This window comes from Homo sapiens, chromosome 8 (assembly GCF_000001405.40).
Source record: "Homo sapiens chromosome 8, GRCh38.p14 Primary Assembly".
Classification (NCBI taxonomy): Eukaryota; Metazoa; Chordata; class Mammalia; order Primates; family Hominidae; genus Homo; species Homo sapiens.
The window spans coordinates 139,167,016-139,194,561 of record NC_000008.11 but is presented as its reverse complement, the minus strand read 5'-3'; the positions used below and the strand labels follow the sequence as shown (position 1 = coordinate 139,194,561).

Below are 27,546 nucleotides of genomic sequence, written 5' to 3'. Positions count from 1 at the left end.
AATAGCTCATTATGGAATGTTAAATAACTGGATCAAGAAGTCAATAAATAAGTGTAGAGAAGGGCAGGAGAGGAAGAGGAAGAGGAAGATGGATACAGATTGAAACAGAAAAATGAGACTGATGTCATGTGAGGCTAAAGGCAAGAGAAATAAATATAGCAGAGTATACTGTGTAGAATAGAAATGACAGTAAAAACTGGGTCAGGAGACCTGAGTATTAGAGTCCATTTGACCAATAGTCAACCCCAGCAGAGTAGTCCCTGCCTCCATCTCTGAGCCTCAGCTTTCTCTTTTGTAAAGGAAGTTGTGTTACAAGATTGTTATGGAATCATTGATTCTAACATCCTATGACTGATAAGAACCTGAGTTTTTATGCAGGCAAAGTTCTGTTTGTATTGTGGTGTAATAAAATTTCATACAAACTGGAGTTTTAGTACTTTTAAGTGTGGTATGTTGTGTATATGTTGGCCTCAGACTTCACTGATTCAGGTCCCTGTTATTTCACTTAATGACTACTGTCTTTTCTCCTTTCTATCATTCCCTTCCAAATGGTAGTCTCCTCAAATCATTCCCCATAAGGAGAATGAGAACTTCTTGGAAGTAAAAATGATTGCTGGCCTGGAGTAGGAAATATTCCAGTTGAGCCTTGAGGAGTTGGTACCAGAATTCAAAGAAGCTATCACAGACCAATTGGCCATGTCAAAGGGTATACTGTTAACACGAAGGAGCTCCCTTTGTACAAAGATGTAATTTTTAAAGCGTGTGATTATCAACTACAAAACCCTCAATAATTATTAATTCATAATGATACATACACAAAAATGCAAAGACAGAACACCAATCAAAAACAAATATAACCCATTAGGAATCATTAGATTCTCAGACATTAAAAGTTAAAAGAAAAAATGAAGCATGCTTTCTACCATTCCTGAATAAATGGTGTTTCAGAGCAACCAAATAGTCCTAGTTGATGAGCAAATATTTTTTACGAAGATTTCAAATAGTAAGTTCTAAAGGAAAGGTAGAATCAAACAATTGAATCAAGCAATAAGTCACCTGTTGAACCATTAGATGGTACATTGCTAAGAAATTTTACACTGAAGAATCAGGCAGCCCCAGCTGAACCCCTTATCAGTGTAATTATTAGATACTATGTGCCTCCTGGTATGTTAGCAAGTGAAGCACCTAGGACCACTTATCAAGTCTATATGCAAGAAAGTTAAACCCCAATACAATGAAACCCTAGAGAGGCAGAGTTCAGCAAACTATATAGCCTGTTGGCCAAATTCCGACTGTGGTCTGTGTTTCTATGGCCTGCACAGTAAGAATTGTTTTTACATTTTTAAGGGTTGTGAGTAAAATCAGAGTATGTTTCAGAGACCATATGTGGCCTCCAAAGCCTGACACATTTACTACCTGACCGTTTAGAGAAAGTTTGCTAACCCCTGATTTTTACAAAAAATATGTGGAGAGATTATGAGAAGACGATCAATGACAGCACACAGCATCAAATAGACTAACCCAGAATGTGAGAGGTATTACAGAACAACTAGCCTTGCTTCTACAACAAGTCTGTAGCATAAACATTGGGATGGGGAGCTGGATTGCTCTAGACTGAATGTTACGTGGATGTTTGGTTCCTGATTTAAAGAAATATAAAATGTAGCTTTAAAATTAATCTTTTAAATTGATAAGTCATTGTTGTAAAAATACACAGGGCACAATGATATTTGGATATATGTAAATAATGGAGAATGGTTAAATCAAGCTAATTATCATATACATCCCCTCATTCGCATTTGTTGGAAATGTATTCTTAGCTATTTGGAAATATACATTATTGGCTATATCAACCTGCTCTGCAATAAATCAAAACTTATCACCCCTGTCTATCTGAAACTTTGTGCTCTTTGATCAGCAACTCCTCATTCCCTCCTTACCCCATGCTCCCAGCCTCTGGTAACCATTTTACTTCTACTGACAAGTTTAACTTTTTTAGTTTTCACATATAAATGAGATTATACAGGATTTGTGTCTGGCTTGTTACACTTAACATAATGACTTCCAGTTCCATTCATGTTGTTGCAAATAACAGAATTATTTATATAGCTGAATATTCCATTGTGTGTGTGTATATATATACACCATATTTTCTTCATTCATTCATTGATGGACACTTAGAGGTTGATTTCACATAGTGGCTATTGCAAGTAGTGCTGCAATTAGTATAGGAGTGCAGATATTCTTTTGAGATACTAATTTTAATTTCTTTGGATATATACCCAGAAGTGAGATTGCTGGATCATATTACAGTTCTATTTTTAGTTTTTTGAGGAGCTACTGTTTTCCATGATGGCTGTAATAATTAATTAATGGACAAGAGTTCTTTTCCACATCCTCACCAACACTTGACAAAACAAACATGTTGTCATTATAATTTTATAAGTGATTGTATTGCATATTGCACATGAAGAAAATCTTCATTTTTTAGAGTTCCATGCTGATGCTTGTAGAGATAAGTGACATGATGTTTTGAATTTGCTTGAAAATATTTAAATGAAACAAGAAATGAAAGGAATAGATGGGGGGCATGAAACAAATGTGACAAAATATTGATAATCATTGTTGAATTTGGGAGGTTTAAAGGTATAAAGTTTTCATAAAATAAAAGTGAGACAAAGTATAATTATTATTCTTTTATCTAACAAATTAGAAATTCGTGTTTTGATGGTTAATTGTGTGTATCAACTTGACTGGGCCTTAGGATGCCCAGATATTTGATCAAACATTATTCCTGTTTTTTTCAGTGAGTGCATTTCTGGAAGAGATTAGCATTTGATTTGGTGGACAGAGTAAAACAGATCACCTTCCCCAATGCACCTTCCTCAATCTGTTGAATACAATGAAAATATGGAGGATGTTTGGATTTACCCTTGCTGCCTGATCTCTTTAGCCAAGACATAGATGTCATGCCCTCGGTGCTCCTGGCTCTCATACCTTCAGATGCAGACTAGAATATTCACCCTGTTGGCTCTCCAGCTCTCAGGCCTTCAAACTACATCACTGGCTTTCTTGGGTCTTGGGCTTGCATGTGGCAGATTATGGGATTTCTCAACTCCACAATCATAAGCCAATACCATTATATAATATGTATTTCATCCTATTGGTTTTGTTTCTCTGGAGAACCCTAATAGAAGTGCATATCCATTCTGAGAGCACCCTGTATTATGCGCTGGGGATACAATAGTGAATAACAAAGGCATGGTCTACATCTTCATGTTGACAAACATGAACAGTAAATGAATAAATTGTTAACATTCTATAAAAAGAACAGATGTCATAGTTTTCTGAAAAATAGCAGGGCAGGGATAAAGGAAGGGCTTTCCCAGGAAAATAACACTGAAGCTCAGCTCTGAAGGAATAAAATGATCGAGTGGAGCAAAGAACAGAGGAAAAAAGTACTCACAGCAATCAGAACAGGCAGTGCAGAGAGTTTGAGGGTGGAAGAGGTAGGTTTGAGAAACTGAAAGAAGTTTCTGGTGGTTGGAAGTACAGATACAAGGCTTTTTGTTTTGCATTAACAAAGTTTTATGGAGTTTTGAAAATAGACTTTACTTTTTCAGAGAAGTTTTAGATCCACAGCAAAATGGAGTGAAAGGTACAGAGACTTTTCATACACCCTCTGCCCCTACACATGCACAACCTTTTCTCTACCAGCACCCCTAGCAAAAGGGTACATTTGTCATAACTGATGGATCCAAAGTCCACAGTTTACATGAGGTTCCACTCTTGGTGTTGTGCATCCTGCAGATTTGCCTAAGTGTATAATGACATATACTCACCATTATAGTATCATATAGAATAGCTTCACTGCTGAAGGCATGAGTTTTGTCCTCAGTCCTCTCACTCTTTTCCTTACCTTCATCTAATCCTCCTCCCTCACCCAGGATGAAAGAAGTCCTCCAAATGGGCAAAGCTTCATAGGCTGCACCTAGTTATCCACTTGTGTAAAGACACAAGTAGTCCAAGGTGATAACTATGATTCATGTGCACTCACAGCTGACATGGCCAGCTGCTCATAGACATGGAAAGACAAACACTAAGATTTTAAATGAGAAATTTTGAAAGAGATATGAAGTTTTTACATATGTGAATAGCTAGTAGTAAGGAAAGATATCTTGGTAGTAGTTTGAATATATGTCCCCACTAAATCTCATGTTGAATTGTAATCCCCAGTATTGGAGGTGGGGCCTGGCGGGAGGTATTGGGTCATGGGGCCAGATGCCTCATGGCCTGGTGCTGTCCTCATGCATTCGAGAGATCTGGTTGTTTAGAAGTGTGTGGCACCCTCCCCCCATACTTGTTCTTTTGCTCCTGCATTCACCATGGGACATGCAAGCTTCTACGTTACCTTCTGCCATAAGTAAAAGGTCCCTGAGGCCTCCAATGAAACCAAGGAGATGCTGGTGCCATGTTCTCTGTACAGCCTTCAGAATCAATTAAACCTCTTTTCTTTATAAATTACATAGTCTCAGATATTCCTTTATAGCTATGCAAGAGTGGCCTCAAATACTTGGTATCATTTGCTACCTCAACCAGAGATTATACTTTACAGATAAGGTGCTAAACAACCAATTAGACCAAACAACTTGCCCAGTTGATATAAGCTAGGCTCACATTGGTTACCTAATTGTTGACACTCTTCAACACATGAATCCAACAACCATAGTGACAGGAAGGAAGTTATACAGATGGGGCAAATAGCCTGGTCTCTCATTTACCAAGATTATTCTGAACCTCGACTGCCCTACAGAGACCAAAACATAGCCCCTGAAGTGGATGATTTACTCAAGGAGATCAACTTGGAGCTAAATTGAGTATACCAGGATCCTTCCATGATAAAAAAGACAGTTACCTATTCTGATGGAAGACATATTCTGGGTATGGGTTTGCTTTTCCTATGTGTTTTAGCCAGAATTCCTACCCAAGGCCTTATTGAATATGTGATCCCCTGGCTTGTGGTCCTACATAATATATCTCATTAGATCAGGGTACCCATTTTATGTAACATGAGGAGTTGTGATCATAAGATATACAAGTCATATAACATACTATTATCTTATGACCACCAAGTTATGACTGTTATGTTATATACTGTTATAACAGTATGTTATATGACATATATATCTTATGATCACCAGCAAACTGCAGGCACAGCCAAAGCCTTAGCTGAGAGGCAGTATTTTAAGAAAATTCAGCACCAGCCTCCAGAATGCAGGAGGTATATTGAATCACAGACATTATGGTGCCATCTTCCCATTAGGAAAAAATATATAGGTCCTGAAATAAAGAGGCAGATGCCAGCAGGGCCTCACACAACTCCAGGTGACCCACTTGGAAAATTTGTCTCCTGACCCTGTAACTCTGGGCTTTGCAGGATTAGATGTTCTGATCCCCAGTGGAAAGTAATTTCACTAACTGGTATAGCAAGTGTTCTGTTGAACTATAAGCCATAGCTTCCATCTGGGAACTGCAGGCTGCTTATGTCCAGGGACCAGCAAGCAAAAAAAGTGACCATTGTAGTAGGAGAAGTCTTGATCATCATCAGGAGGAGATAGGGTTGCTGCAATGCAAAGGCAGCATGTAAGATGTGCCTGTGTGATGGTTAATGTTGAGTGTCAACTTGATCGGATTGAAGGATGCAAAATATTGTTCCTGGGTATATCTGTGAGGGTGCTGGCATAGGAGACTAACATTTGAGTCAGTGGACTGGGGGAGGCAGACCCACCCTGAGTGGGCACCATCTAATCAGCTGCCAGTGCAGCTAGGGTAAAAGCAGGCAGAGGAACGTGGAAGGGCTAGACTGGCTGAGTCTTCCCGCTCTCATCTTTCTCCCGTGCTGGATGCTTCCTGCCTTAGAACAGTAGACTCCAGGTTCTTCAGCTTTGGGACTCTTGGACCTACATCAGTGTTTGTCAGGGGCTCTCATGCCTTCGGCCACAGACTGAAGACTGCACTGTCAGCTTTCCTACTTTCGAGGTTTTGGGACTCAGACTGGCTTCCTTGCTCCTCAGCTTGCAGACGGCCTGTTGTGGGACTTCACCTTGTGATCATGTAAGTCAATACTCCTTAATAAACTCCTGCTCATATATCTGTCCTGTTAGTCCTGTCTCTCTCGCTCTAGCGAACCCTAATAGAGCCTGCTTCCCCTTTGCCTTCTGCTATGATTGTAAGTTTCCTGAGACCTCCCCAGAAGCCAAGCAGATGTCACAATTACGCTTCCTGTACAGCCTATGGAACTGTGAGACAGTTAAACCTCTTCTTTATAAGTTACTTAGTCTAAGGTATTTCTTTGCAGCAGTGCAAGAATGGACTAACACAGGGAACAACACTGTCTTCACATGGCAGAAGGGCAAGATAACCCAACACTGCCTAAGTCCTCTTTCATAAGGTCCCTAATCCCATTTATGAAGGAGGAGCCCTTACGTACTCATCACCTCTTAAAGGCTGCACCTTCTTAATGCTATCACATTGGCCATTAAGTTTCAACATCTGAATTTGAGAGAACACATTTCAACATCTGAATTTGAGGGAACACAATCAAAATGTAGCGGGTATATTTGTTTTGAGTATTAGCCACTTATCAGAAGTGTGTTTGTAAATATTCTCAATCCATGGGTTGTCTCATTTCCTTTGCTGTGCGGAAGTTCATTTGATATAATTTGTCTGTTTTTGCTTTTGTTGCCTGCATTTTTGAAATTCTATCCAAGAAATCATTTCCCAGACCAATGTCATGGAGATTTTTCCTAATGTTTTCTTCCCATAGTTTTGTAGTTTCAGGTCTTACATTTAAGTCTGTAATCCATGTTAATTTTTGTACATGGTATAATAGGGGTATTATTTCATCCTTCTGCATGTGAATATCCAGTTGTCAAACACCATTTCTTAAAGCGATTGTCCTGTACCCATTTTATATTTGATACCTTTGTCAGAAATAAATTGAATATAAATGTAATTTGAAAGTTTTTTTCCAGGCTCTCTGGTTCTGTTCTATTGGTCTATGTGTCTGTTTTTAGGTCAGCACCATGCTGTCTTTAACATACTACAAAACTATAATAATCAAGACAGGTAGTGTGAGGCCGCCAGCTTTGTTCTTTTTGCTCAGAATTGCTTTGGCTATGGTGGGAGACACTCCTATGGTTCCATACCTGTTTTAGGATTGTCTTATTTCTTTGAATAACGACATTGGAATTTTGATGGGGATTATGTTGAATCCCTGGATTGCTTTGAGTGGTATGGACATTTTAATAGTATGAATTCTTCCAATATGAACTGAGGGTCTCTTTCATTTGTATCTAACTTCTTTCAATATCTTGTAGTTTTCAGCGTACAGGTTCTTACTTGCTTAATTTTGAGTACATTCCTAGCTGTCGTAAGTGGGATGGTCTTCCTGATTTTTCAGATAGTGTTAGAAACATGTCTAATTTTTGTAAGTTCATTTTGTATCCTGCCACTTTTCTGAAGTCATTTATTGGTTCTAATAAGTTTTTAGTGATGTGTTTAGGATTTTCTACATGTATCAGATCATCTGCATACAGGGACAATTTAATTTCTTTTCTAATTGAAATGTTTTACTTTCTTTTTACCTAATTGCTCTGGCTAGGGCTTCTAATACTATGTTAAATAGAGGTATCCAAATGGCCATCCTTGTCTTGCTCCAGGATCTTAGAGGAGAAGCTTTCAGCTTTTCACCATAGAGTATGTCAGCTGTGGCTTTGTCACATGGCCTTTATTGTGTTGTGGCTCATTTCTTCTGTACCTAGTTTGAGATGCCTCATTACAAGGCAGTTTTGTCAAATGCTTTTTCTGCATCTATCGATATGGTCTTATGGTTTGTCTGTTCTGTTAATGTGGTTGCACATTTATGAGTTTACACATACTGAACCACTCTTGCATCCCTGTGATAAGCCCCACTCGATTGTGAGTGCTTTTAATGTGCTCTTGAATTTGGTTTGCTAGTATTTTGAGGATTTTTGCATTATGTTCTTCAGGGATGTTAGTCTAACGTGTCCTTGTCAGCTTTGGTATCAGGGTAATGCTGGCTTCATAAAGTGCATTTGGAAGTATTACCTTCACTTGAATTTTTAGAAATGTTGGGGAAGGACTGGTAACCATTCTTTAAATGTTTGGTAGAATTCAGCACATCCATCAGGTCCTGGGCTTTTCTTTGATGGGAGACCTTACTTACTGATTCAATCTTACTCATTATTGGTATGTTCAGATTTTTTCTTTGTGCCTTAATCTGGGTAAGCAGTATGTGTCTAGGGGTTTATCCACTTTCTAGGTGATCTACTTGGTACATAATTGTTCATAGTAGGCTCTTATGATTCTCTGAATTTATCAGAAATTCAAAAGAACTGATTTTTCAAATCTGAGTCTTAGCTAATGGCTTATTTTTGAAAAAACTCTTATTGATATTCTCTCTTTCTAGTCTATTGTTTACTTCTGCTATGGTCTTTATTTCATTTTTTTTTTTAACTAACTTTGGGCTTAATTTGTTCTAGTCCCTTGTGTAATGTTAGGTTTTTTGAGATCTTTGATAGAGGCATTTATTGCTATAAATGCTCAGAATGGCTTTTTCTGCATCTGATACCTTTAGGAACGTTATACACCACTTTGTCTCAAGACATTTAAACTTTAATTGCTTCATTGACCCATTGATTGCTCAGCAACATGTTTAATTTGTATATATTTATAAGTTTTCTGAATTTCTAGTTTAATACTGTGCTCAGAAAAGATACGTAATGTGATTTTCAATCTTACGGTTTTTCTTTTATAGTTTCTGCAACTTCAAGTTGCCTTGAGCATATACTCCCATCTTAAAGTTTCTAAAACTTGCTTTGTAACCTACCATATAATCTATCTTGGAGAAAATTCTGTTTGTGCTTTTAAAAAATGCATTTTTGGGTTAATTGTTCTGTGAATGTCTTGCTAGGCTTAGTTCATCTAAAGTGCAGTTGAAGTCTGATGTTTTCTGATTTTTCTCTCTGGATGATCAATCTATTGCTGAAAGTAGGGTATTAAATTTCCCTACTATTTTAGAGTCTATCTCTCCCTTCAATTCTATTAATATCTGCTTTACATGTTTATGTGCTCCTAGTTGGATTCATATGTATTTATACTTGTTATATCTTGATGAATTGACCCGTTTATTAATGAATGACTTGTCTAATTTTAAAGTTTCTGACTTTTAGCTTACCTGATAAGTATAGCTACTCCTGCTGTCTTTTGGTTTCCAGTTGCATGGTATATTAGTCTGTTCTCACACTGCTGTAAAGGAACACCTGAGACTGGGGAGTTTATAACGAGGTTTAATTGTCTCACAGTTCTACAGGTTGTACAGGAAGCATAGTGGCATCAGCTTCTAGGGAAGCCTCAGGAAACTTATAATCATGACAGATGGTGATGAGAAAGCAAGCACATCTTACCTGGCTAGAGGAGGAGGAGGAAGGGGCATGTGGGGTGGTGCCACGCACTTTTAAACAACCAGATCTCACGAGACTTTACTATTACAACAATGGCACCAAGAGGGATGGTGTTAAACCATGAGAAACCACCCCCATGATCCAATCACCTCCCACCAGGCCCCACCCCAACATTACAATCCCATATGAGATTTGGGTGGGGACACAGATCCAAATCACCTGGAGTATCTTTTTCCATTTCTTCACTTTTATGCTATAGGTGTACTTACAGGTCAAGTGAGTTATTAAAGGCAGCATGGAGTCTTTTTAAATGATCTATTCATCCACTCTGCCTTTTACATGGAGAATTTAGACCACTTATGTTCAAGGTAGTTATTAATAGGTAAGTACTGACATTTTCTGGTTGTTTTGTAGATCTTTTGTTCCTTTCTTCCTCTTGCTGTCTTCCTTTGATTTTTCCATTAGTATTGTTTTTTAAAATACATTTTAATTGACAATATTGTACATATTTATGGGGTTCGGTGATGTTTCAGTATATATAATGTATAGTGACAAGATCAGGGTAATCATCTGAGACATCATTTGTGTTGGGAACATTCAATATCCTTCTAGTATCTATCTATAGTATCCTTGAAACTATAAGTTAACTATAGTCATTCTACAGTGGTATAGAACACTAGAATGTATTCCTCCTTTCAAGCTGTGATTGTGTATACTTTAATAGATCTTTCCCTATTTTTCCCTTTCCTATTCTCAGCCTCAGAATATCATTGAGTTTCTACTGTTGACTTAAGAGGTCAACTTTAAGTTTCCATGTAAGAGTCAGAACATGTGTTTTACTTTCTGCTCATAGCTTATTTCACTTAATATCCTCCAGTTCCATCCATGTTTCCATGAATAATAGGATTTTAATTGCTGAGTAGTATTCCATTGTACTTTATCCACATTTTCCTTATTGTCTGTTGGACACCTAGTTTGACTATCTTGGCTATTGGGAATAGTGCTGCCATAAATATAGGGGTGCAGATGTCTTTTTTGATGTAATGACTTCAATTCCTTTGGGTAACTACCCAATAGAATTACTGGATCACAGGGTAGTTATATATTTTTAAACTTTGAGGAATCTCCATACTGTTCTCTGTGGTGACTGTACTAGTTTACATTCCCACCAATGTGTACAAGGTTCCCTTTTCTTCACATTCTTACCAGCATTTTTGTCTTTTTCATAATAGCCATCTTAACTATGGTAAGAAGATGCTTCATTGTGGTTTGTATTTACCTCATGATTAGTGATGTTGACATATTTTGTTGGCCATTTATATGTTCTTGAGAAGATACCTGTTCAGATTGTCTTTAGATTTTTGCTGTTGAGTTTCTTGTATATTTTGGTTATTAATCCCCTGTTGGATGAATAGTTTGCAAATACTTTATCCCATTCTGTAAGTTACCTTGTCACTTTCTTTTGCTGTGCAGAAACATTTTAGTTCTATATAATTCCATTTGTCTATTTTTGATGCCTGTACATTTTAGGTCTTGTGTTTTTCAGACAAGTGCACTGAAGTGTTTTCCCTATGTTTTCTAGTAGCTTTATAGTCTGGGCCTTATATTTAGTTTGATACATTTTGTGTTAATTTTTGTATATGGTGAGATAAGGGGTCTCGTTTCATTCTTCTGCAAATGGATATCCAGTTGTCCCAGCACCATTTATTGAAGAGACTGTCCTCTTCCCAGTGAGTATTCTTTGTACTTTTGTCCAAATCAGTTGGCTGTAAATAAGTGAATTTCTGAGTTCTCTAATTCATTGGTACATAAGTCTGTTAATGCCAGTGTCATGCTGTTTGGTTATGGTAACTTTGTGGTATAATTTGAAGTCAGGTGTATTAGTCTGTTCTCATGCTAATAAAGATATACTCAAGACTAGGTAATTTATAAAGGAAAAGGTCTAATGGACACACAGTTCCATATGGCTGGGGAGGCCTCACAATCATGGTAGAAGGTGAATGAGGAGCAAAGTCATGTCTTACACAGTGGCAGGCAAGAAAGCCTGTATAGGGGAACTGCCCTTTACCAAAACCGTCAGATCTCATGAGACTTATTCACTATCATGAGAAAAGCATGGTGAAAATCCACCTCCATGATTCAATTACCTCCCACTGAATCCCTCCCACAATATGTGGGGATTATGGGAGCTACAACTTAAGATGAGATTTGGGTGGGGACATAGCCAAACCATGTCATTCCTCCCTGGTTCCTCCCAAATCTCATGTTCACATTTCTAAACCAATCATGCCTTTGCAATAGTTCCCCCAAAGTCTTAACTCATTTCAGCATTAACTCAAAAGTCCACAGCCCAAATTTTCATCTAAGACAAGGCAAGTCCCTCCTGCCATGAGCCTATAAAATCAAAAGCAAGTTAGTTACCTCCTAGATACAATGTGGGTAAAGGCATTGGGTAAATGCATCCATTCCAAATGGGAGAGATTGGTCAAAACAAAGGGGCTACAGGCCCCAGATGAGTCTGAAATCCAATGGGGCAGTTGAATCTTAAAGCTCCTAAGTGATCTCCTTTGATTCTGTGTCTCACATCCAAGGTCATACTGATGCAAGAGATGGGCTCCCATGGTCTTAGGCAGCTCTGCTCCTGTGGCTTTTCAGGGTACAGCCCCACTCCTGGCTGCTTTCATGGACTGGGATTGTCTGCAGCTTTTCCAGGTGCACGGTGCAAGCTGTTGGTGAATCTACCATTCTGGGGTCTTGGGGATGGTGGCCCTCTTCTCACAGCTCCGCTAGGCAGTGCCTCAGTGGGGACTCTGTGGGATCTCTGACCCCACATTTCTCTTCTACACTGCCTTAGCAGTTCTCCATGAGGGTTCTGCCTCTGCCCCAAACTTCTGCCTGGACATCCATGTGTTTCCAGACATCCTCTGAAATCTAGGTGAAGGTTCCCAAATCTCAATTCTTGACTTCTGTGCACCCATAGGCCCAACACCACATGTAAGCCACCAAGGCTTGGGGCTTACATTCTTTGAAGCCGTGGCCTGAGCTGTATGTTGGCACCTTTTAGCCATGGCCAGAGCTGAAGCAGCTGGGACACAGGGCACCATGTCCCGAGGCTGCATAGAGCAGTGGGGCCCTGGGGCCAGCCCAGGAAACCATATTTCCCTCCTAGGCTTCCAGGCCTGTGATGGGAGGGGCTGCTGTGAAGTTCTCTGACATGCCCCGGAGACATATTCCCCATTGTCTTGGTAATTAACATTTGGCTCCTCATTACTTATGCAGATTCCTGCAGCCCCAGCTTGAGTTTCTCCCTAGAAAATGGAGTTCTCTTTTCTATAGCATCATCAGGCTGCACATTTTCCAAACTTTTATGCTCTGCTGCCTCTTGAATGCTTTGCTGCTTAGAAATTTCTTCCAGATACCCCAACTCATCTCTCTCAAAGCTCCACAGATCTCTAGGGCAGGAGCAAAATGCCACCAGTCTCTTTGCTAAAACACAGCAAGACTCACCTTTATTCCAGTTCCCAACAAGTTCCTCATCTCCATCTGAGAGGAGCAGCATTTGGTCAAAGCCATTCAACAAGCCTCTAGGAAGTTCCAAACTTTCCCACAACCTCCCATCTTCTGAACCCTCTAAATCTCTAGGAAGTTCCAAACTTTGCCACATTTTCCTGCCTTCTTCTGAGCCCTCCAGACTGTTCCAACCTCTTCCTGTTACCCAGTTCCAAAGTCACTTCCACATTTTCAGGTATCTTTACAGCAGCACCCCCCACCCTGCCCTACCTAGTACCAATTTACTGTATTAATCTGTTCTTATGCTGCTAATAAAGACACACTCAAGACTGGGTAATTTATAAAGGAAAAAGGTTTAATTTGCTCACAGTTCCACATGGCTGGGGAGGCCTCACAATCATGGCAGAAGGTGAATGAGGAGCAAAGTCATGTATTACATAGAGGTGGGCAAGAGGAACTGCCCTTTATAAGACCATCAGATCTCATGGGAATATTCACTATCATGAGAACAGCATGGGAAAAACCCACACCCATGATTCAATTACCTCCCACAACATAGGGAGATTATGGGAGCTACAATCCAAAATGAGATTTGGGTGGGTACACAGCCAAACCATATCATCAGGTAATGCGATGTCTCTCACTTGGTTATTTTTGCTTAGCATTGCTTTGGCTATCTGGATCTTTTTTTGTTCCACGTAAATTTTAGAATTTTTGTATTTCTGTGATGACTTCTGCACAAAGGTTACAATTAACAGAGTGAAGAGACAACCTATAGAACATGCTCAGACTAACCAACTCAACGGATTAACCACCAGGATGTATTAGAAACTGAAGCAAAATATCTGAATAGACATTTCTCAAGAGACAAATGACCAAAGGGAATATCAAGAATACTTGACAACACTAGGCAGAAAGGCAAATCAAACCATTACATATCATCTCACTGTAGTTAAAATGCCTTATTAAAAAACGGTGCTGGCAAGAATGTGGAAAAAGGGGGAATACTTGTATACTGTTGGTGGGAATATAAATTGGTAGAGCCACTATGGAAACAACATGCAGGTTCTTTCAAAAGCTACAATCAGAACTACCAAATGATTCAGCAATCCCATTGCTGGGTATATATTCAAAAGAAAGGAAATCTGTATTGTGAAGAGATAGCTGCTCTCTTATGTTTATTGCAGCACTATTCACAATAGCCAACATATAGGATCAACTTAGGTATCCAACAACAGATGAATAAATATGGGATATATACACAGTGGAATACCACACAGCCATTAAATAATTAAATCCTGTAATTCATGGCAACATGGATGGAACTAGACATTGTGTTAAAGTGAAATAAGCCAGGCAGGACTTGAAATCTCCCCCAGAACAGAAAATACATGAGGTGATGAATACCCTAAATGTTCTGACTTGATTATAGCCTATGCATGTAACACAATTTCACATGTACTCCACAAGTATATATAAACACAAGGTATCAAAAAATTTTTAAAGACAAATAGTTTATGTCATCCCTCATGTTAGAGCTAAAAAAGTTGATCTTATGGAGATAGAGAGTAAAATGAAAGTGACTAGGGATTGGGAGGAGTAGTGGAGAGGTGGGCATGAAGATGGCCTGATTAAATGGGTACAAAATGCAATTAGAAGTAATAGGATCTTGAGAGGAGAAAGGAAGAAACCAGTTAGGCAGGCAGTTAGGGTGGGTGCTTGGTTGAATTCTTCCAAACAAAGGAACAGCCTGCAGAGACAAGGGAACTTGCACAGGGGTGCTTGCCTGAGACATACCCACAACCACACAGATAAGAAAGGCTATACAGGTGACTTGTATAGACATGCCCACAATGGAATATTCCATCCCCGGCACATGCACAGTAAGGGGAACAAAGCAATATGGAGTAACTCAAGCAAAGGGCCTGCATTGTGCATTAGGAGGATGGGGTGAAGCTACCAGAAATTCATGCCTTAAGCAGATAAGATGTACAGCCCTTATGGCTTTCTTATAAAAGCCTTTGCATTCAACTGTAAACACAGCAATCCTCTTCTGTGTCCCCTCTCTGCAGCAGACAGCTTTCTTCTTTTGCTTATTAAAACTTCCACTCCAACTTCACCCTTGGTGTCCACGTTCCTTAACTTTCTTGGACCTGAGTCAAAAAACTTCAGGTGATACCTGGGGTTACGAAAGACTGCTACATTGTGATGCATTGGTGAGACTAACAATCTAGCATTTAGTAGCACAATAGAGCAGCTGTTAGTCAGTTTATTCTATTTTTAGAAATGGAATAGTGGAATTGGAATGTTTCTAACACAAAGAAATAATATTTGAGGTGATGCCTTATTTGATCATTATATATTGTATATTTTATCAAAATCACATGTACCTTATTATGAGAGAAGAGAGAGACCCTCTCATATTGTTTTACATTGTTTTATACTCAGTTAAAAACAACAAGGAAGTAAAACCAAAGACAGGCAAGCCCAGTGCCAGGCCCGAAACCAGGCCTGGGCCTGCCTGGCCTAAACCCAGTAGTTAAAAATCAACTTATGACTTAGAAACTGATGTTATTCATAGATTCCAGACATTCTATAGAAGAACATTGTGAAACTCCCTGCCCTGTTCTGTTTCTCCCTGAGCACCATTGCATGCAGCCCCTGTCATGTACCCCTTGCTTGCTCAAATCAATCATGACCCTCCCTTTCATGTGAAATCTTTAGTGTTGTGAGCCCTTAAAAGGGACAAATTGTGCACTCGAGGAGCTCAGATTTTGAGACAGTAGCTGGCCGATGCTCCTAGCTGAATAAAGCCCTTCCTTCTACAACTCGGTGTCTAAGAGGTTTTGTCTGTGGCTCGTCCTGCTACAATTAATGTATACAACTATTGTACATCTACATGAACCCAGCTTTAGCCAGGTGTTCTGTAACAGAAGAGCTGGTTTGCTTGTATATAAAAGAATACACTGACCAAGAATTTTGAGAATGGGCTGGTCAGCCTGAGAAGAACAGCCTGATGGCACCTGCAGAAGGCCACAAGACATTGACCAAGAAAGCAATGATTAACTGACAACCATTTCACAGAAATGCTTTGTTCATTGTTTGTCCCTCCCTTAATTTCCCTTAAGAATCCCAGATCCAGTTTGGGAGGCTGAAAATATTAAGGATATGTCATCCTGTGGTGAAAGAAGGGTGACAACATGAGAATAAGGCTAAACTCATTTCCATAACAAACTTACTCTCAGTGACAAACAAACTCCCACAATTATGACATTCATCCATTCATGAGGGCAGAGCCCTAATATCCTATTAAAGGTCCTGCTTCTCACACTGAAGTTTGTTTCCAACACATGAATCTTGGGAAACACATTCAAACTGTTACTGGAAGGCTGTGAGTATGAGTTGTCCAGGTCCCTTGGCATTTTGAACAAAGAATTGGACAAAACGCACAAAGGAGTGAGACACAGGAACAAAGCAGGAATTTATTAAAGGGAGAAAGCACTCCACAGGGTGGGAGTGGGCCCGAGCAAATGGCTCAAGGGCCTAGTTACAAAGTTTTCTGGGTTTTAAGTACTCCTTTTGAGGTTCCTATCTGTTACCCCTCATATGAAGGATTCGGTCTGTGGCTGAAGGCTAAGGTGAATTTAATTCAAGGCTGAGGTGAATTGGCACTCTATGCAGATGAAGGGATTGTCCCTGCTTGGCCCAAGGCCACTCCAAGGCACCCTCCCTTTCCACTTGAGACATGGTGGAAGTGAGAGGGCTGCAGGGAGAGACTAGCCTTTGATCCTTTGTTCTTCCACCCTAGGGAGATGGAGTTTCTCCTTTTGGTTTAGGCTTTAGGAAGTTTGGGTTAATTGGCCTGAGGTTCCCTGCTTCCAGACCCAGGTGTCCTGTAACAGAAGAGCTTGTTTGCTTGTATATTATTGCTTTGCTTGGGTTTGTAGATTATATTAAAAAGCAGCCTCAGGAAAATAGGACCTTCAGAGATAAAATACATGGACCAAGAACTTTGGGAATGGGCTGATCAGCCTGAGAAGAACAGCCTGATGGCTCCTGCAGAAGGCCACAAGACATTAACCAAGAAAACAATGATTAACTGACAACCATTTCACAGAAATGCTTTGGTCATTGTTTGTCCTCTCTTAGTTTCCCTTAAGAACCCCAGATTCAGACATACAGCTTGGAGAGGTAGTCTTTAAACACAAGTTCACTGCCTCCTCTGGATTGCTGGCATCTTGAATACAGCTGACTTTCCTTTTCAAAAGCTTCTCTCAATTTTGGCTTTCAAGAGATGTGTGGCCTGTACCTTAGTTACACTTTCATGTTTTTGAGTATTTGTTAAAGCAACAGCTCCACTCCTTGGTACCTGTCTTTTGTCTGTTTTGCATTGCTGTAACAAAATATTACAGACTGGGTAGTTTATAAAGAAAAATTTCAGTTTTGGAGACTGGAAAATTCAATATCAACATGCCACCAGCTGGTGAGAGCCTTGTTGCATCAACTTAAGCAAAGGGCAAGCGACTGCAAGATGGAGCAAGAGAGGGACAAGCTCACTCTTGCAATCACTAACCCATTCTCAAGATAATGACAATGCATTCATGATGGCAGAGCTATCCTAGCACCTATCATGATCATATCACCTCTTGAAGATCCTATCTCTCAACACTGCTACGTTAGGGATTAAGTTTAACACATGAACTTTGAGGGATACAAACCATAGCAACATTGTTGGTTTTATGGTTTCTCATGAGAAATTTGTTTCTCTAAGTCATTCTTCCCAGTTTTTGTTTCGGTATCATTTGGTTCTCCTAACCTCCTCTCCTCTCCTTTGGCCCCTTCCACCCTGGCTTCTGTCAATATTTCTTCTATGTCGCTGGTTTCTCGCAGTTGTAACATGATATGCCTATATGTAGCTTTTAGGTGTATATTTATTATGTTTGGTGTTGAGCTTTCTGGTTTTTGTATTTTTTGGAACTCTTTAAGCCATTAAGTATTCCTTCTGTTCTAAATATTCTAGCTAGACACACACACACACACACACACACACACACACCACATCTTATGGAAGTTGTCCCACTGTTCTTGGATGTAATGTTCTATTTTTTTCTCTTTGCATTTTAGTTTGGGAAGTTTCTATTGACCTATATTCAAGCTTATTGATTTTCCTGGCTACCTCAAGTCAACTGATGAGCTCAAAGACATTCTTCTGTTATTTTGATTTTGAACATTTCCTTCTGATTCTTAGAGTTTCCATTTCTCAACTTATATTACCCATCTGTTCTTACATTTGTCTTTTTATTAGAGCCCATATTAGTCTGCTTGAGCTTCCAGAACAAAATTCCATAGACAGGGTGGCTTGAACAATAGAAATTTACTTTCTCTCAGTTCTAGAGGCTGGAAAGTCCAAGACAGAAGTTCCAGACAACTTCTGGTGGAGGCTCTTCTTCCTAGCTTGTAGAGAGCTGCTTTGTCCTCATATGGTCTTTCCTCTGAGCCTTCTTGGGGAGAAAAGGAAAATGTAAACTCTTTAGTGTCTTTTCTCATGAGACACTAATCCCATTGAGTCAGGGTGCACCCTCATGACCGCATTTCACCATGAGTCTAGGCCATATCTCCACAGGTAGCCAATCTGAGGGTTATTCTAGCTTCAATATGTGAATTTCAAGGAGAGAAACAAACTTACAATTAATAAAGCTCTTAACATATTCAGCTATTTTAAGATTTCTTTGATAATTCTAACATTTGTGTCACAGGATTCAAATCTGGATCTGATGCTTGTTTTTTCTTCCTTTCAGACTTGACCACTGGGCCTGGCTTGTGTCTTTGTTACTGTTTAAAGCTGGATATGGTATTTCAGGTCATAGGAACAAAGGTACATGGATCTCTAGTATGAGGACTTACGTTAATCTGGCTAGCATTTGACCTTTAGTATTTCATGTGGCTACAGGTGCCAGAGGCTTCAGATTCCCCTAATGTCCTTGTTTTTATTCTTTGACCTTGGGCTTTCCTACTTATTCTTGCTCATGACAGCCTGTCTTGAAGCTCTTTCAGCTCTAATCCATTGTTACTTTGGTGGGGCTCTGTTGATGTGGTGCTAAGATACGGAAGAGGGAGAATGCTGTACAATCTTCCAATTAAATTTCAGTTGTTTAGTGGGTTTCTCTGACCTGTGACCTCCACAAGTTTTTCTTCTTGTGTAGCCCTCCAACCTTGGGTGAGACAGGACAGATGGAGGGGCCTGGAGGAGAGGCATACCCTTCCCCATGGCTCTGGAGAGAAGACATTTGTTATGGGGAAGGCTGTGGATTTATTTCACATGGATTACTCTTCCAGCCCATTGCCAGAGCCAAGGAGGGAATCTTTCTTGGTTCCTGAGAACCTGGTGGGGTTCCTGGAGGTGAAGCCCCCTAAAGTAAGCAGACCTCCTAAGACTGTAGCCCCCCAAGAGTTTGTCCCTTATGCTAGTCCATACTCAGTTCCCAGCAGTTTATTAAAATTACCACTTAAGAACTCCTACCAGTTTTTGGCTCCAGCAGCTTCTATTTCAAGTAGAAAGGCTTTAACCTTTCTGGATTTGTCTGTCTCTCCAAATTTCAGGGTGGCGGTTGCACTGCAAGCTTCACTCTTGAAAAGGTATCGAATACCTGTCATTGATTTTTAGCTTATTCTTATAAAGATAAAAGCACAAAATTCAAGATCTTTACATTTTGGAGCTGAAAGCAGAAGTCACAGAAGTCACAGATGTTCTTTGTAATTTAGATCCCCACGAAAGCAGAGCCAAGGACAAGTCCTCCAGTACACATGGCTGATGTGTAAGATGATCTCAGGGAACAGGGATAGTGAGTGAATGAGACAGGCAGAGACACCCCAAGTTTACAACATCAATGCCACTGCCATAGGCAATAGGTGCTGGATATTCTACTGTGATAAACAATGCTGGAAAAGAGAAATCTTAATACACAGTTTTTCAAATCCAGAGATTAATTGATCTAGTCATCCTTCCATAAGCATAAATACATTTCTATTTCTATATTTGTCTTGGGTCTGAAAATGACAAATATTGATGCCTGCTCTGTTATAAGCATCTTCACATATGTTCTCTCATCCTATTGAGTATGCAAGAGAATGTGTTATCTACCTCAAACAAATGAGGCTATGATTTCAGAGCAGCCAAGTGACTTGCTCAAAGCAACACAAGCTGTAAGAGAACAAAGCCAGGGTTTGGGCCTGTGCCCTTCTCGCCATAGACTCCATAGGCTAAAGTGATGCTTCCCAGAGCTGCATAAAACAGTCTCTCCTGGTAGTCCCCAAAGCCAAGCTGTGGCATATGTTTGTTTAATCTGGTCACATATATCTCAGAAAATCCTAACTAGAATTGAGCTTCTCTGATCCCTCCTTTCCCCAAGACAGAAATTTTCCTAATTCATCCACATAGTCATTTACAAATACCCATCCACAGGGGAGATATCTTTAATTGTCACAAAGATACATCATAGTCTCATTAAGTAGGGACCCAAAAATTCCTCCCCCTAAAGTCCGAGTCTGGCTTTCAGACATGGGTTTGAGTCATTCCAATGTGAGATACGAACTATGATTTTGTTGCTCAGAACTTGCTTTTGGAATGTGACATTGGTCTTGTTCTCTGAAAACCACTCACTCATTAACAGATTAAACACTAGTTAGAAATGTCAGGCAGAATGTTAAAGGGGCTGAGACAGAGTGATGAGTATGTATGACTGAGTACAATATGCTCAATTCAGGAGTTTGTGCAATAAGGAAAATGTCCATAGTATCAATAAACTGATGGGAATTGAGACATACATTTTAATGTCATCTGTATAGCCCATTGTGTAAGTCATGAGGAGGGGGTCCTGAACCCACAAGGACATCTGGATCTGGCTTTTCATGAGAACTGTCTGTGGTTCTGAAGGGGCCCTATAGGCTAGAACTTCACTGCAGAATAAAATCTAGGATATGAATATATTTTATATATGGATATTTGAAGGAATTTTGTTTTCCAATGGGAATCCATTTTCAAACATATCACCAAACTATCCATGAAACCTTGGTATAAAATGTGGGCCATCTATCAGAAGGTATGGAACTAATGTTCTTTGGGACAGGAGCAATATGTGTTTATCTTCAAACCCTTGGTACTTCACACATACTGGAAATTCAGCACGGGCTTATGGGTTCATGGCTCCATTATGTGAAAAAGTCCCGGAAATCATTACAGTGAGACATCATTGTAGTGTGAGCTCTTAAGCAGCATGAAATGGAATGTACTTAAGGTTGAGAACTAGAGGTTCTGTGTTCGAGATCCAGTCATACCCACCAGAAAATGTCTTTGAACACAATACAGTTGACCCTTTTTAAACTATGCTGGTCTTGATTATATGCAGGTTTCCATCAATCAAATATGAATTGGAATTATCATATTAGGAGCTGGGCACAGTGGCTCATGCCTGTAACCCCAGTGACTTGGGAGGCTGTTGCTTGAGGCCAGGAGTTTCAGAACAGCCTTGGCAACATAGTGAGACCAATCCAGAAATAAAAGTCAATAGCCAGGTATGGTGGTACATGCCTGTAGTCCTAGCTACTCAGGAGGCTGAGGCAGAAGGATTGCTTGAGACCACAAGTTCAAGGCTGCAGTGAGCCACGGTTATACCACTGCACTCCAGCCTGGGTGACAGAGGCGGCCCTGTCTCTTAAAAACACAAGACAATATTTGCAGTGTGCCAAGTCCATATATACAGAGGTCTGGCTTTTATACATACATGGGTTCTGCAGGGTGACTTCCATACTTGAGCATATAAAGACTGAGATATCCAAATGTCCTGGAACCAATCTGTCACATATACTGAAGGACAACTGTATCTTGTTATCCCCATTTTTAACTTCAACACTGCAACCATTACTAATTACTACCCACTCAACTATTACTAATTACTACTCAGCATCGTGACAATTGCATAAATTACAATAATACAGCCACATATTGTCTACTTTTCAGTGCCCTGCAATATCTAGTTCAGGTTCTTTCACAAAGTAGGAGCTCCCTAAGTATCTATTGGTTTGAATTATGAAGTGCTGGTATCAGTTACCTCTGAGAATGAAACATCCTGATCTTGTATTTGGCAAACCCAGGAAGAAAAATGCAAACCATCCTCTTAATGGAAGCTTTGTGCAGCAGTCTGCATTAAGATTCTGGAGGAGAAGAGGAAGCCTGCATCTTTCATTCTGTACCCAAATTGAAACACTCCATTATAGGCAAGGGAGCCGTGGTGGTTTCATCAGCTGGAACATAATAAAGGAGAGCCAGCTGTGTGATCCAGCATGAGGTGTCTCCTGATGCTCAAAGGAAGCTTGCTCATGCAAACTCTTCCCACATTGTGTCTTGAGCTTAACAGAACTCATTTCATGGGGAGGAGGAAACTAAACTTCATTCATGACTGCATAGCATTTATTCAGTTGTTCTTGATGTTATGGAGAAAAAAATCCCATCTGATTTTAATTTCAATTCTGCCACTTCCTAGCCATGTGAACTTTGGAAGTGTATTTCACTTGTAAAGCCCTACTTGTCTATTCATGTTTACCGGAAGCATTAGAGGTATTGTATGAACAGCACCTTGTACAATGGTTGTCACATACATAGTAAGAAGTCAATTATTTAAACTAGCACCAAAACTCAACTTCAATTTCTTCATCTGTTATCATTAAAACCTTTCAAAAACTTAAGGACAAAGTCTATAGTTAGAACTGTGGATTTTGCTAATCTAATTGCATTCTCATGTATTTAAGTGATTATAATTTGGAATATTAGATCAGGCTGCTGTAAGTAGGTTCAGGTTGTATTTCAAGATTTTTTTATACTATCCTTAAAACCATTAGAAGCATGTTATCCCCATCCCCCTTTATAGAGAGCTGAGGCTTAAGAAATATAAGGCAAATTGCACAAATTTACATAGCTCCTACATGGCCAGAGTAATTTTAATTAGGTCTGATTCTCAGTCCATACACCTGCAACTGCACTTTATTTTCCTCTTGGGGCAAAGATAGCTTTAACTGAAATTGATCTTCAGACAATTTATTGCATTTGAACAAACCATCAGACATGTAAATTTAAACCATTTCTCAGCCAGTAAGCTATACAGAAAGGGCATCAGGCTGAGAGTTAAAGACATCCAAAAATCAAGCTGATATTTATGTAAGCTTTATGCAAGATACATGTGTAAGCAGCCTACTTCTCAATGACCCTATGTGTAAAATGAGAACAATATTCATCTTGGATTTGAAAGGATCTAATTAGATCTAGCAGATGTGTTTTAAGAATAAGTGTTTCAAAGATGAAAAGAAAGGAGATGCTATTCCTTTCCTTCCCCTCCCTTTTTTCCCCACAAAGCAGTGGGGGTGGCATTTATGGATTCATTGTTAGTATATATTGACCTGTTAGATTAGGGTAAAATACATGGTTGATGACTGAAATCCTTTTTACCCTTCTCACCTTCCCAGTGTCTGCAGGAGCCAGAAGGCAGGCACAGACCTCCTGGTTTGGAGTGTAGCTCTCTAAGTATGTGTAGTGTCTTTCCTTCCTGATGCTCCAACTAACCCTAATTAGGCCCCATTTCAGCAACTCATAGGAGATGGCTGCAGCCTCATGAGTCTGAAAGGAATGTTGGAAGCAGGAAGAGGGTTTAAATTCAGCAGACATGTATTAAGGAAGCTACTATTCCCATAAGAAAACCACAGTTTAGCCGAGCTGACAGGCATGTAAGTAGGTAACCATGGCAACTCAATGCCAAGAGATCTAGAATTCTGTAGAAGTGTTACTGTGGACTTATGTAAACCAAAAGGGTTAGGACAGACATTTGATCATAGTTCAGATACTCAAGATAAACTGGAACACCTGGTCTCATAGCCATCTTTAACTTCCGGTGAGCTTTATTCTTTGGTTCTCAGGATCTATTCTACCTCCTAAAGCCATTTTAAAGTTAAGAACAGATATGGAAGTCTGTTCTCTTGCCAGAATTCCATTTAGTATCCTGCTGAGGCATTGAAATAGTGGCCATTAGGTCCAAGATAATGTTTAATGGACACCCTTGTTAACTATGCAGAATATAGCTCCAAAACAATTGTTGATTCACAGTCGCTCTTGGGTATTAGTTTAAGCTTGCCGACTCTAGCAAAAACGGTTTTATACCAGTCTTAGGAGTCCACAGGCCCAGTAACTCTCCAGTCAGATGCCTTGTTCTTCTAGTCCTCTGAATATCTGCACGTTTTTGCTTTGTAACAAATTCTTTACCTACAGTGTCCAATTACGCTGCCCCTTAACTTTGAGGTTTCAACTGAAGAATCCCCTTCCCTATGCCTCAATGCACCTTGCAGGTGGGTGGGTATTTGAAGGATTTCAGACTATACTGTGACTGTTCTGTTACTTGTGTGTCTGTTCCTCCTGTATAGACTATGAACACCTTAAAGAGGATCATGTTTGTGTTCACAGTAGGGGCTCAATCACTGCTTAATGAAAGATGAATGATCCTGAGAAACTGCTTTGAAGTGCTTTGATCTAGAGTCAAGCTTATCCCACCCAGCCTACTTCCCCAAAGGTTTGCAGCCTGAGTCACTCAATCCTGAGGCATCACCAACATCATTTTTATGCCTAGTGTGGGAGAGTGGAAAAAAAATGTCAAGGTGTCAGAAGACTTTGGTTCGGCTTGTGATTCACCAACAGGCTACAAAGAGCCATGGTTTTATCATTCCTGAATTTCATCCTCATCTGAGGAACATGCTACGGTCCACTGGAAAAACTGATTTGAGTGTCAGAGTTGAGTATGAAGAATATTTTGGGTGGCTGGCACATAGCCTGTGACATAGAAGGCACTGCATAAACAAGCTCAAATTTAAATTCACAGGCTAGGATCCCATTAGTAAGGTTATAAGCTTTTTATATAGACACGAGTGTGTTTCTATTTCATTGTGAAAGGAATTTTCATAATTAAGACATCTTTGGCAAAAATTTAATGGCATGATGCGTGCAGTGCTAAGAACTTATTAGATCGCAAAATAGCTTCTGTTAGATGCTTATCTTATGTTGAGGATTAACCTAAATATGCCACATGAATAATCTCTAAGTTGTCATAGTATCATAAAGCAATTAGCCCATTTTTACAGGTCAGGTGTCAGATTCAGAAAGATTAAGAATTTTGTTCCAGGCAACACAGCCAGTACATGAGAGGTGAGGTTGATGCTGAATTATGCTTTTTCCTACAGCACTTTTTCTCCTCATTGATTCAGCACAAGTCCATGGGTCACAAGAGCTTTGAAAGACACCTCTGATGGGCTTCAGGATTATTATTGGAATGGAAGACTTAACTTAGATTATGGTTTCAGAAACAACCTGGCCCAGGCATGAGTATCTGCTGAAAGGTTTTTGAGTAAATATTGTCAAAATGTCTGCTACCCAAAGTGGTCTACAGATTCAGTGAAATCCCTATCAAGATAGCAATAAGAGGCTGTTCTATAAAGACTTTGGCACCATATTCCACATTTATCTGTAGCTTGACAAAGAACTACAGAAACTATGAGTAAACAGCCCAGATTATTTTCCCAGACAGGACAGGATCATCCTAGACCTTAGGATCTTATGTAAGTCTTATACTGAGGAAATTAAGGATAAAGGTTCACATCCACACTGACCACTGACCTGTTCTAGGCAATGGGATGTCACTTTTCTCATGTCCTCTTACATAAAGTTTTGTTGGCCTTTCATATGCCATTTCAGCAAAGGAAGTGCCAAGTGCTGTCCCTCCCAACTCACGCCCAATGTCGGAGCAACTGGTGCATGTTTCACTTCAGGCAGATGTGACCCCATCTGTCCCACTCCTTTCTAAACATTCCCTTTCCTCAAGTTGTCTGCAATTCCCTCATCTTTGTTCCTATATAGTCATGAAAGAGGCTCTACACTCACATTTTTTCCATCACAAAGTACATCCCAGTTGACTTTAAAGCTGGCCCCAAGGATCCCTGAGCCTAAAGACCTGACCACCATGTCGACTTGGGTGATTCCAAAAAGGGAAGTGTAAGATTCAACCCTCCACTGTTCATTTTGCCACAGGAAACCAATATACCCAATTTGTCTGGATAAAGGATACTTTGGAAAATTTACATCAAAACAAAATTTTCAAAATCCACTGGATGTCAGCATTTTTACAAGCACTTTGTGTAAACATAGTTAGGAAATAGCTGTGGAAATCCTTCCTCTGCAACCAGAGTTTGTCTATGATGCAGTCAGTACAGATACGAAGAGCCACGTTTATATCATGGGGCACACCTGCTTTTTTCTCCTGAGTCTCAGTTTTGGAAATAAACCAGGTTCTACCAACCTGTGCTCGTAACATACTTAAAAGAACCTTGACATAAAACTAAAAGCATTTTTCCTCACGTCTCTAAACATTTTCCCCTGGACACAAAGTTGGTTTCTGCCTGTTTCATCCCCGATCTTTCACTTCAACACTGAGATATCAGGAAGCAAACATGAAGCAACATGGAGGACAGGCCTGGGTGCCCATCACTGGGCCACTTGCGAGGCTAGAACCAGCCATGGTGAGTATCCACAGAAGGGTGAGTGCCTGCTGCCTGTCAAGATTTTAACATTCATAATGGATACTTGAGCTCGATCCACAGCCATCTTGATTGTCCCAGACTTGATCTCCATGAGAACATTCAATGGGTGACTACCCAAATCCTTTCACGTCAGGAAAAATCTTTTTCATCCTGTCCCATCACTTATTTGGCTTGATAGAACTTAGGTGAGAACAAACCAATTCTTCAATTTGGTCAAAAAAAATCCAAGCTCGATAGATAGTCCTTGAATCCTGTCCTCTCTTCCCGTCAACTTTATTACTTGGCTAAATAGGTCCTAGGTTAGAACAAACTATTTCCTCATAGGAGCTCTGGTTTTGTTGTAGGATTGAAGGAGACATTTTTAGCGTGTGTAATAGCTTTGAAAGTGAAATCTGGAGCAAATCTCATGGGCTTCTCCACAGAGCACGTTCTAGAGCTCAGAAGTATAAAGAGAATTCCTTAAGATATCACTTAATACCAGTTACCTGTGCTCAGAGTGCATGCTGCTGACTATAAGCACATAGGAGTGGAAAGATTAGGCAACATGTGACATGCTTTGTGCACATTAAGCCTTTAGAGAAACTATGGAATTTTTCTGGACATGGTATCTACACATATCTGTTGAAAGTCAGGAAATCCTCAGTGGTATCTCAGTTGATTCATCTTCCCATTGGTCTCATGGGATACACAAGGCCTTTCTCCAGCATCCCCTTTCCTAACAATTCTGTTTAAGTTTCAGAGAATAGACCCAAGATGAGGAAAATTCTCACTTTCCCACCTCAAGCCCTGGAATACTCTTCCTATCCAAGACTCACTCTTGTTAATCCAGTTCAACTTATTATACAGTCCTCCATGAACACCTGCTTTCCATGACTCAGAGGCTTAATGTTCTAAATGTTAATGGGGGAGGGAATGTGTTCTGGAA

The 27,546-nt window shown here is 39.9% G+C and overlaps 2 annotated features.

Moving 5' to 3' along the window:
* Positions 24,069 to 25,268: an enhancer, noted in NCBI's record as "P300/CBP strongly-dependent group 1 enhancer chr8:140181537-140182736 (GRCh37/hg19 assembly coordinates)". NCBI's record gives its function as "activates an origin of replication core promoter dependent on BRD2, BRD4, P300/CBP, MED14 and CDK7 cofactors, with strong dependence on P300/CBP, by STARR-seq in HCT116 cells {active_cell/tissue: HCT116}" and the evidence as "EXISTENCE:reporter gene assay evidence [ECO:0000049][PMID:35650434]".
* Positions 24,203 to 24,802: an enhancer, noted in NCBI's record as "NANOG hESC enhancer chr8:140182003-140182602 (GRCh37/hg19 assembly coordinates)". NCBI's record gives its function as "activates a minimal SCP1, AML or CMV promoter by ChIP-STARR-seq in naive H9 embryonic stem cells {active_cell/tissue: H9 hESC(naive)}" and the evidence as "EXISTENCE:reporter gene assay evidence [ECO:0000049][PMID:30033119]".